The following is a 12,398-nucleotide window of genomic DNA, read 5'->3' on the forward strand; positions in this document are numbered from 1 at the left end:
GGGTTGAGTTCTTGATGTGATTCTCTGCTTGGTAGCTGTTGATGTATGGAAGAGCTACGGATTTGTGTCCCTTAATCTTGTATCTGGAAACTTTGCTGAATTCTTTTATCAGTTCTAGGAAGTTTCTAGAGGAGTCCGTAGGGTTTTCTAGGCAAAAGATTATATCATCAGCAACAAGTGACAGTTTGACATCCTCTTTACCGATTTGGATTTCCTCTATTTCCTTCTTTTGTCTGATTGCTCTGGCTAGGACTTCCAGTACTATGTTGAAGAGGAGCGGTGAGAGTAGTCTCCTTGTCTTGTTCCAGTTCTCAAAGTGAATGCTTTCACCGTTTCCCCATTCAGTATTATGTTGGTTGTGGGTTTGTCATAGATGGCTTTTATTACATTAAGGTATGTCCCTTGTATGCCTATTTTGCTGAGAGCTTTAATCATAAAGCAATGCTAGATTTTGTCAAATGTTTTTTCTGTACCTGTTGATATAATCATATTAGATTTTTTTAATTCTGTTTATTTAGTGTATCACACTTATTGACTTGCATATGTGAAACTACTCCTATATCATTGGTATAAAACCCACTTGATCATGGTGGATTATTTTTTGATATGTTGTCGGATTCAGTTAGATAGTATTTTCTTAAGGATTTTGGCATCTGAGTTCATCAAGGATATTGGTCTGTAGTTTTCTTTTTTGGTTATGTCCTTCCATGGTTTTGGTATTAGGGTGATGCTGGCTTCATAGAATGAATAAGGAGGGTTTCTTCTTTCTCTGTCTTGTGGAATAGTATGAAAAGATGGGTATCATTTCTTCCTTGAATGAAAGAAGACATTCTTTGAATGTCTGGTAGAATTCTGCTGTGAATCTGTCTGGCCCTCAGCTTTTTTTGCTGGTAATTTTAAAATTACCATTTCAATCTTGCTGCTTGCTTTATTGGTCTGCTTGGGGTATCTAATTCTTCCTGATTTAAGCTAGGGGAGTTGTATTTTTCCAGGAATTTATCCAACTCTTCTAGGTTTTGTAGTTTATGTGCCAAAAGGTGTTCATAGTACCCTTGAATAATCTTTAATATTTCAGTGGTGTCAGTTGTAATATCCCCTGTTTCATTTCTTAGTGAGGTTATTTGGATTTTCTCTCTTCTTTTCTTGGTTAATCTTGCTAATGGTCTATCAATTTTATTTATCTTTTCAAATAACCAACTTTTTGTTTTATTTATGTTTTGTATTTGTTGTTGTTGTTGTTGTGTCAATTTCATTTAGTTCTGCTCTGATTTTTGTTATTTCCTGTGTTTGCTGGGATTGGGTTTGGCTTGTTCCTGCTTCTCTAGTTCCCTGAGATGTGAACTTAGATTGTCTGTTTGTGCTCTTTCAGACTTTTTGATGTAGGTTTTTAGGACTACAAACTTTGCTCTTAGCAGTGCCTTTGCTGTATCCCAGAGGTCTTGATAGGTTGTGTCATCCAGTTCGAAGACATTTTTTACATTTCCATCTTGATTTCATTTTTCACCCAATGCTCATTCTGTGAGGAACAACCAAATTGTTTTCCGCAGCAAGGGCATCATTTTCTATTCCTAGCAGCCACATCATGAGGGCTCCAACTTCTCCACCTCCTTAGCAACATTTATTTTCTGTGTCATTGTTATGAAAGCCTTACTTGTGGATGCAGAGTGGCATGAATGAAGTCAATTAACACGTTTATTACCTCACAGAATAGTCACCTTTTGGGTGCATGGGTGGGATAAGAAAACTTAACTCCATCCCCTGTGACGGAATAGTGGCCATTCCAGCTGCTCCAGGCTCCAGCAGAGGAAGACCGGGGTATGTGGCCCCACCAGGGTGACCCTCAGGCCTGGCGCGCACGCATTCCAGAGGCCACCCAAACCATGCTCTGCCATCTGGGCGCCCAAGCTGCCGTCGCCCCCTGTGTGCAGGCAGCATCTGCCTGGCAACCCCCGAGCCCGCTCGCGCTCCTAGCATCACAGAAGCAGGGCCACGTGTCCCAGTGGCTGCAGCCAAGCCAGGCATTCTGCCCTGCGGCAGCAGCTGCACAGGAGCGAGAACTGAGAACCCACCGCTCAACCCCACACGAGGTGACTGCCGAGTGCCCATATAAACGGCTCCGATCTCCCTCAGGTGGAGGAGTGGTCGGGAGGCATGGCCTGGGGGCCCTCAGGCTTGGCGCGCTGGCGATCCCAAGGCCGACCAGGCCATGCACCTCCAGCCTGCCTGGGCACCCGAGCTGCAGCCGCCTTCTGCATGCAGGCAGCAGCCTCCAGGCAACTCCCGAGCCCGCCCACACTCCCCACATCTTGGAAGCAGGGCCAAATGTCCCTGTGGCTGTGGCCAAGCCAGGCGGTCTGTACTGCAGCAGCTGCACAGGGGCGGGAACCGACCCTCAGCCCCATCCCCGGTGGCTGCAGAGGGCCCCTGGATAGAGATCTGGAGCTCTGACAGAGGAGGAGCCGGGCCAGGGCAGGGTCTGGCAGGCTCTCAGGCCAGGGGCACCCGCGATCCAGAGGCCGCCCAGGGCATGCTTCACCACCTGGGAGCCCAGCTACAGGCGCCGGGCGACTCCCAAGCTGGCTGGCGCGCCCAGCCTCGCAGAACCGGAGCTAGATGTCGCCATGGCTGCGACCAAGCCAGGCGGTCTGCCCAGGGGCGGCTGCACCGGGGCAGGAACCGACCCTCAGCCCCATCCCCGGTGGCTGCAGACGGCCCCTGGGGCGGCCCCGATCTCTCTTCGGAGGAGGAGAGGGGCGGGAGTCACGGCCAGGCGGACCCTCAGGCGGGAAGGAGTGCGCGCCTGTGATTCCGGGACGTCCCGCGCCAGCCCAGGAGAACCCGCAAGCCAGCGGCGCCTGTTTCTCTGTGTGATTCTTTGAGGAACCACCAAACTGTTTTCCACAGCAAGTGCATCATTTTCTATTCCTAGCAGCCAGTTCATGAGGGCTCCAGTTTCTCCACCTCCTTAGCAACATTGATTTTCTGTGTCGTTGTTATGAAAGCCTTACTAGTGGATGCAAAGTGGCATCTCATTTGGGTTTTGCCTTGCATTTTATTAATGAATAATGGTGTTTAGCATCTTTTCTTTTCCTTCTTAGACATTTGTGTATCTTCTTTGGAGAAATGTCTGTTCAAGTCCTTTGCCTATTTTTTAATTGGGATCTTAGAAATTCTGTTGTTGAGTTGTGGAATATTAAGCTTTTATCAGATACACATTTTGATTTTATCAGATACATATTTTCTCACATATTATGGGTTGTCTTTTCACTTCCTTGATAGTATCCTTTGATACATAAAGGGTTTTTTATTTTGATTAAATCTAATTTTCGTGTATTTTCTTTTGTTATCTGTGCTTTTCTGTCATATTTCAAAATACACTTAAAACTCAAAGGTCATAAAGGTTTACCGTGTGTTTTCTTCTAAGAGTTACATATTTTTAGTCCTTACATTTAAGTATTTTATTAATTTAGAATTAATTTTTGTATATACTGCAAAGTAGGGGTCTAACTTCTCTCTTGTGCACTGACATCCAGTTGTTGAAGAGACTGTTCTTTCCTCCCTTGACTAGACTTGGCCACCTTGTTGAACAGTCATTGACCATATATGTGAGGACTAACTTGTAGGATCTCAAATCTGTTCCATTGTATTGGTCTGAAAGTCTATTGGTCTTATTCCAGTACCACACTCTCTTGATTACTGTAGATTTGTAGTAGGCTGTGAAACTGAAAAATGTGAGTTTTCCAATGTTGTTTTTCAAGACTGTTTTGTCTGTCAGATCCTTTGAATTTTTGTATGATTTTAGAATGAGTTTCTTTGTTTCTGCAAAAATGCCTTTGGGATTTTGATGGTATTGCATTGAATCTGTAGATTACTTTAGATGGTATTGTCATCTTAACAATATTGTCTTACAACCCGTGAACACAGAATGTCTTTCCACTTATTTCCACTCTCTTTAGTTTTTTGCAGCAATGTTTTATGTATACCACCATGGTTAGATTTATGCCTGAATAACGTATTATTTGATGTCATTATAAATGGAATTTTTAAAATGTTTTCATAGTTCTTTACAACTATATAGAAATATAGCTCATTTGCCTATGTTTGTTTGCATCCTGCCTCTTTTATTAGTTATAATCGGTTTTGTGTTTTGTTTGGAGCTTTATACCCATAAGATCATGTGTAGATATAATTTTACACCTATTTTTTATTTCTAATTTAGATGCCTTTTATTTCTTTGTCTTGCCTAATTGCTCTGGCTAGAACTGCCAGTGCTACGTTGAATACAAGTGGCAAATGCACCATCCTTTTCTTCTAGATGTTAGGAAAACAGCTTTCAGTGTTTCATCATTGATCATGATATTAACTGTTGGGTTTTTGTACATCCCATTGTCATGTTGCAGAAGATCCCTTCTATGCCTAGTTTATTGAGTATTTTTATTATAGAAGGGTGTTGTATTTCATCAATGTTTTCTCTGCAGCAATTGAAATAATCACGTGCTTATTCATTTTACTGTTACAGCATATTACACTGATTGATTTTTTATATGTTGAACCACCCTTGCATTTTGGGGATAAATCTCAAAGGGTGATAGTTTACAATCCTTTGATTATACAGTATTGCTGCTGCTAGTATTTTGCTAGTATTTCTAGTATTTTGCTGAGATTTTTGCTTATATATTCATAAGGGATATAGTGCTGTATTTCTCTCTTTTGTGCTCTCTTTGTCTTTGGTATAAGGATAATGCTGTTATCAAAAAATGAATTAGCAAGTATTCCTTCTTCATATATTTTGTCAGAAGAGTTTGAGAAGAAATGGTATTAATTCTTCTTTAAATGTTAGGTTGACTCACCAGTTAATGCAGCTATTTGGTCATAAATGTTTCTTTGTTAATCGCTTTCGATTACTAATTCAATCTCCTAGGTTATAGGTCTATTCAGATTTTCTCTTTCTTCTTGAGCCACTTTGGTAGTTTGTGTCTTTCTAGCGATTCATCCATTTCATCCAGGGCACCTAATTTGTTGCTAGACAGTTGTTCACAGTATACTCCTGTAATCCTTTTGTATTTCTGTAAAGTTGGTAGTAATGGCTCTGCTTTCATTTATCATTTTAATAATTAGTCTTCCATCTTTTGCTCAGTCAATATAGTGAAAGGCTTGATCTTTCAAAGAATCTACATTTTTTCATTCTACTGCTCTCCAACCTTCTGTTTTATTGATTTATGCTCTAATTATGCTCTTTATTATTTCTTTCCTTCTGCTAGCTTTGGATTTAGTCTTCCACCTGGATTTATTTTGAGAGTGATATTGATGTAACTTCATGGAAATAATACTAGATAGAAAGTTAGCGGATAGATTCTCTATCTGATGAGAGTTTGGTGCAAGTCGAGTACCAGGTTACCAAGTTTTATTTTTTTCTCTGACCCAAAAAACAATTTGGCAGCCGGTGAGAAACTCTCACAGCTCTGGATGTGAGTTTAGGACACTGCATTTCTAGCATTCAATTTCTTACTACTTTTTTGCACAGGGATCATGGCACAAGTTGCAGTTTCCACCCTGCCCATGGAAGATGAGGAGTCCATGGAAGATGAGGAGTCTGTTGAAGATGATTCCGTGGAGAGCAGGATGGTGGTGACATTTCTCATATCAGCTCTCGAGTCCACGGTGAGACCTTCTGTTCTAACATGATATAATTTGGTAGAACTGGGTGGTAGATAAGGTTGATTTTTTTTTTGTAGAACTTATAATTTTATGATTTGTAGTTCTAATGAGTAGATCTTTTTCTGGAATAGTAGTTATGTTCAAACACTTCTAACCAAATGTGCCATGTTGTCCAGTCTGGTCTCAAAATATGGGGCTCAAGAGACCTGCCCACCTTGGCCTCCCAAAATACTGGGATTACAGGTGTAAGCCCCTGAATCTGGCCAGATATTTTTCTTTTTATGGCTGAATAATACTCTGTGTATGTATATATTACATTTTCTTTATCTATTCACCTACTGATGGGCATTAGGTTTGGGCTACCTTCTGGCCACTGTGAATAATGCTGCTGTTAATTGGGTGTACAAATACCTGTTTGAGTCCCTGCTCTCAGTTCTTTTGGGTATATACGCTTAAAGGGTGTTGATGGATCATATAATTCTATGCTTCATATTTTTAAGGAGCTGCTAAACCATTTTCCACAGTGGGCTGTACCATTTTACATTCCAAAAAGCAATGCATACAGCTTCCAATTTCTCTATAGCATTGCTGACAGTTAATATTTTCTGTTTATGTATTGTATTTTTATAGTGTTTGAAATTAATCTGAGGCTTTTCACTGATACCAAAATATTAGGAAAGGTTTTCCAAAAATAATACTGCTTATTATAGAGGATTTTACGTGTTACTTGATGCCCTGTGATCTGTTTTCTAAGTAAGAAGAGGAACTTCTTGGCTGGGCACAGCGGCTCATGCCTGTAATCCTAGCACTTTTGGAGACCGAGGTGAGTAGATCACCTAATGTCAGGAGTTCAAGACCAGCCTGGCCAACATAGTGAAACCCAGTCTCCACTAAAAAAAAAAAAATTAGCTGGGTGTGGTGGGGGGTGCCTCTAATCCCAGGTATTCGGAAGGCTGAGGCAGAGAATTGATTAAACCCATAAGGCAGAGGTTACAGTGACCGAGATTGCACCACTGCACCCCAGCCTGTGTGACAGAGTGAGAGTCCATCTCAAAAAAAAAAGGAAAGAAAGAAGAAGAACTTCTCTCCATCCAGCCTCATTCCACTACACCAACTCTTCTGTGTCTGGTTGTGCAGGGGAGAAAGGGAGCTTGGCAACTCTTTGCTGTGTTGAGTTGTGGTAGCCCATCACTGGGTTGTAAAGTGCCTTGCCTCCTTTCCTCCCCTCCTTTTTTTTGAGACAGAGTCTCACTCTGTCGTCCAGGCTGAGGTGCAGTGGTGGGATCTCTGCTCACTGCAACCTTAGCCTCCTGGGTTCAAGTGATTCTCCTGCCTCAGCCTCCCAAGAAGCTGGGACTACAGGCACATGCCACCACACCTGGCTAACTTTTTTTATTTTTAGTAGAGACAGGGTATCACCATGTTGGCCAGGCTGGTCTTGAACTCTTGACTTCAGGTGATCCACCCACCTTGGCCTCCCAAAGTGCTGGGGTTAAAGGCATGAGACACTGCACCCATCCACCTCCTCTTTTACTTGGGAGAAATGCACAGATTCTGGGTGCCATGTGCATTTGTTTTGGGAGTGATAATTGATCTAACTTATGGAAATAATACTAGATAGTTAGCGGATGGATTCTGTATCTGATGAGAGTTTTGGGCAAAATGAATTCCTAGTTTCTGAGTCTTATTTTTCCCCTGATTCAAGATAACTGTGAATTATCCAGCCAGTAAAAAACTCTCACAGCTCTGGATGTGAGTTTAGGACACTGGATTTCTACCACTCATTTTCTTACTACTTTTCTTGTGCAAGGATCATGGCACAAGTTGCAGTTTCCATCCTGCCCATTGAAGATGAGGAGTCTGTTGAAGATGAGGAGTCCTTGGAGAGCAGGATGGTGGTGACATTCCTGTCAGTTCTCGACTCCATGGTCAGACCTTCTGTTCTCACATTCTGTAGTTCGGTAGGACTGGGCGGTAGATAAGGTTGATTTGTTTTTGTAGAACTTACAATTTTGTGATTTTTAGTTCTAATGAGTAGAACTTTTTCATGAATAGTAGTTACGGTCAAACACCTCTGACCAAATGTGCATGTGGAGTTTCTACACTGATTTTCAAACAATCTGGATCCCAACTGGGTATCCCACAATTCCATCCTGACACTCCCTGGAGTTAGTGCAGACCCTGCAGGATGGGAGCTCAGTCCCAGGAGTCTACCCTCACTCCACATACCAATTGCAAGTCTTGGGTTGTTACATGTAGTTTTGACCAACCAGTTAGAAAACAGGGTTTCATGACCCCCATTGGTGGGTGGAATCATTTGCTCGGACAGCTTGCAGAACTCAGAAAAACAGATTGTTTTCTTTTTTTTCTGAGATACAGGGTCTCAGTCTGTTGCCAGGCTGGAATGCAGTGGTGTGATCAAAGCTCACTGTAGCATGGGACTCCTGGGCTCAAGTGATCCTTCCACCTCAGCCTCCCAAATAGCTGAGATTATAGGCCTGTACCAGCATATCTGGCTATGTTCTTTTACTTTTTGTAGAGATGGGGTCTTGTTATGTTGCCCAGGCTGGTCTCAAATTTCTGGGCTCACGTGATCCTCCCACCTCAACTTCACAAAATGCTGGGATTATGGGCATGAACCACTGCATCTCACCAATTTACTTTCTTTTACTGGTTCATTTTAAAGGCTAAATCTCAGAAACAGCCAGTGAAAGAGATGTACATGCTGGGCACAGTGGCTCATGCCTGTAATTTCAGCACTTTGGGAGACTGAGGCGGGAGCATCACTTAAGTGCTCAGGAGATTAAGACCAGCCTGGGTAACAAGGTGAAAATGCATCTCTACAAAAAGATTTTTCTAAAAATTAGCCAGGCACAGTTATCTATAGTTCTAGCTACTCAGTGCCTATAATTCTAGCTACTCAGGAGGCTGAGGTGAGAGGATGAGAGGATGGGGCTTGAGATAGGGAGGCATAGTTCGCAGTGAGCCATGATTGTGCCATGACACTCTAGGCTGGGAGATAGAGCCAGACTCTGTCTCAAAAAAAAAACAAAAAGCACACAGGGCAAGGTATGTCGAGAGGGGTACAGAACTTCCATGTCCTCTATTGTGCATATTACATTCCTGGTATCTCCCTTGTGTTCAGCAACCCAGACATTCTCCAACTCCAGCTGTTGAGGGCGCTTATGAACGCTTCATTATGCAGGCATGATTGGTGAAGTCATTGACCATTGGTGATTAAGTCAGTCTTCGGCCACTATTTCTTCCTGGAGCCCAGGGGGTGAGGCTGACAGTTCCAAGCCTCTAATCACATGGTTTGTTCTTCTGACAACAACCACCCCTTTTTCTGAAGCTGTCTACAAGCTTTCAGTCACCCAGTCATCTCAGTAACATCACCAAATGCATTCTTACTATGGTGATCCCAAAGGTCTTAGAGGCTCTTGTGTTAGAAACCTGGGACTAAGACCAAATATTGAAACAGAAGATGCCCCATCACTTTCATCACCAAGGCCTTTATAAGAGCTTGAGAAGCTCTTTGCCAGGATGAGGGGCAGAAACCAAATGTGTATTTCTTTTCTTTTTCTTTTGAACACAGAGTCTCTGTTTCACCCAATCTGGAGTGCAGTGATGGTGTTGTAGCTAACTGCAGCCTCAACCACCTGTGCTCAAGCAATTCTCCCACCTCAGCCTTCCAAGCATCTGGGACTACAGGTGCACACCATCTATGCCCAGCTAATTGTTGTATTTTTTTGTAGAGATAGGATCTTGTTATATTGCCGAGGCTGGTCTTGAACTCTGGGGCTAAAGCGATCCTTTCACCACAACCTCTCAAGTAGCTGAAACTACAGATGCATACTACCATGCCCAGCTAATTTTTTCTTATTTCTTTTTGTTGTTTAATTGAGGGGGTCTCGCTGTGTTTCCCAGGCTGGTCCTGAAGTTTTGGCCTCAAGCGTTTCTCCTCCTTTGACCTCCTAAACTGTTGGGATTATGGTTGTGAGCCACGGCCTCTGTGTCCAGCAATCACAAGAGGTCTTTATAAGTGAAAGAGGGAGGTAAGAGAGTCCGAATTGAAGGAGATTTGATGATGGAAGCACAGGTCACAGAGGGAGATTTGAATATGCTTTGCTTCAGGCTTTGAAGATGCAGTTAGGGGCCATGAGCCAAAGAATAGGAGTGGCTTTAGCAACTGGGAAAGGCAAGGGAACATATTCTCTCCAGAACCTCCAGAAGGGATGCAGTCCTGCTGGCACCTTGACTTTAGCCTTAATAGACCTATTTTGGACTTCTGGCCCCCAGACCTCTTAGTGAGTAGATTTGTGGTGTATTAAGCCACTCAATGTAGGGTAGTTTGTAACAGCGGCAAGAAGAAATGAACATGAAGCCAGAATTGGTGGCCCACACCTATAATTCCAGCTATTTAGGAGGCTGAGGCAGGATGGTTGCTTTGGCCCAGGAGTTCACGATAAGTCTGGGCAACAAAATGATACCCTGTCTACATGGAAAAAAAAAAAAATTAGCGGGTGTGGTGGCATGCACTTGTAGTCTTAGCTACTAGAGGCCCTGAGGCAGGACAATTTCTTGACCTAGGAGCTCCAGGTCTCAGTGCGTTGTGATCGTGCCATGGCACCCCAGTCTGAGTGACACAGCGAGATTATATCTTAGAAAAAAAAAGAAAAAAGAAATGAGTGAGCATGGCAGGAATAGGGACAGATAGCAATATTAAATAGAGTGGTCAGGGTTGGCCTCCTAAGTGAAAATTGAGCAAAGACTTGAAGGAGGGGAAGGAGCTGGCCAAGGTACTGAGGGAAGAGCATTTTAGGCAGAAACAACAGAATAAAGATGCTAAGAGGGAACTCCGTGGTGTGTCTGAAGCTCAGGAAAGAGGTCTGTGGAGTAGAGAGAGGGAGAGAAGTAGGGAAGGAGGCCAGGGAGTTGTTGGACTCAGATCAGTACAGATTGTGTAAGCCCTGGGAGGCTATTGCTGGGGCTTTGGTTTTTATTCTGTCTGAGATGGGAGATGCGGAAGGGTTCTGAGCAGAGAGTTGACACGAACTGTCTACTGATTTAAAAGCATCCCATGGCAGCTGAGTTGACAAAGATTGTGGGAAGATTTGGGTAGAAGCAGGGAGGCCATGCTGTGGCAACCTCCAGGTGGGAGATGATAGTGGTTCTGACCAGGGCCCTGGCAATGGTGAGAGATGGTTGATTCTTGTTGAAATGTTAAGTAATTAAAAAAAAACCACTACTGCTTTTCCCAATTATATGAAGTATGGGATGCTAGATTACAGAGATCTTAAGTCGGGCCAGGTGTAGTGGCTTATGCCCGTAGCTTCAGCACTTTGGGAGGCAGAGATGGGAGAATGGTTTGAGTCCAGGAGTTTGAGACCACCCTGGGCAACACAGCAAGACTTCCTGTCTATGCAAATAAAAATTAATAAAATATAATTATCCCGGCATAGTGGTATTTTCCTGTAGAACCTGTTACTTAGGTTGTTGAGGTGGGCAGATCTCTTGAGGGCGGGAGTTTGAGGCCAGCTTGGGCAACATAGCAAGGCTCCTCTTTCTACAAAAAAAAAAAAAAAAAAAAAAAATTAGCTGGGTGTTTTGGTGTTCATCTGTAGCCGTAGCTATGGTGAGGGTGAGGCAGGAGGATCCCCGGAGCCCAGGAGGTCACGGCTGCAGTTAGCTATGAGTGCACCCCTGCATTGCAGCCAGAGTGACAGAGTGAGACCCGGTCTCAGAATACAGATACAAGTAAAGAAATCTCAGCTCAGAGCAGTCTGTTTGTCACTATGCAGCCTTTGCAACCCCATAGCTGCGCGATTGGGTTTGTGTTGCTGGAGGTGAGGAGACCCGTGCCCAGGTGTTGTTGCCTGTCTAATCAGTTTATTTTAAAATATATTAATGAAATTTATTTCATCATACTTTATGGCCTCATACCTGAATGGTTTTTTGAATTCTCCTTTGAATAGCTTGTAACTATTCAAACCTCTTATTGGTTCTATAATTAATTCTTTTTCTAATTAGCTTTTTAAAAATCAGAATTGATATTAGACTAATCAGTTATTAATGAGGAGATGAAATTGAGTTGTTTGTACACTTTATCTAAGATAGTGTTATATTGGCTAACTCAAATCAGTAGTTCAGCAAATGCAGAATCAGAGCTTCTTCAGCGTGGAACTCTCTTGTGGTTCTTGAAGATGCCATTTCTTTCTTTTTTTTTTTTGAGACAGCATCTTCCTCTGTCACCAGGCTCGAGTGCAGTGGCACAATCTCAATTCACAGCAACTTCTGCCTCCCGGGTTCAAGCATTTCTTTTGCCTCAGCCTCTGAAGTAGCTGGGACTACAGGCACATGCCACCATGCCCGGCTAAGCTTTGTATTTTCTGTAGATACGGGGTTTCAGCATGTTGGACAGGCTGGTCTTGAACTCCTGACCTTGTGATCCACTGGCCTTGGACTCCTAAAGTGCTGGGATTACAGGTGTGAGCCACCGTGCCTGGCCTCTTTTTTCAGTCTTTAATAAACTGCTGCCATCATTTCAGACCACTTGCTATTTTAGGCACTTAGAAATTTTTCACTGGAATTCATGTAAAGAAAGACCATGGGTGTTTGTACTGGATTTAGTATTCATCCTTCGACTGCATGACTCACCCCTAGTGCCATAATTTTACTAAAGAATTTTTCAGATACTACTCAGCTGGCCACTGAACCTAACCAGCAACCCACCCTCAACC

The 12,398-nt window shown here is 43.1% G+C and overlaps 1 pseudogene; it reads left to right on the forward strand.

The window, feature by feature from the left end:
* The first annotated feature begins 1,726 nt into the window (after nt 1–1,726).
* LOC107987320 (translation initiation factor IF-2-like) lies at nt 1,727–3,193 on the forward strand (annotated as a pseudogene).
* Nucleotides 3,194–12,398: the final 9,205 nt, after the last annotated feature.

Source organism: Homo sapiens, chromosome 22 (assembly GCF_000001405.40).
Source record: "Homo sapiens chromosome 22, GRCh38.p14 Primary Assembly".
Lineage (NCBI taxonomy): Eukaryota > Metazoa > Chordata > Mammalia > Primates > Hominidae > Homo > Homo sapiens.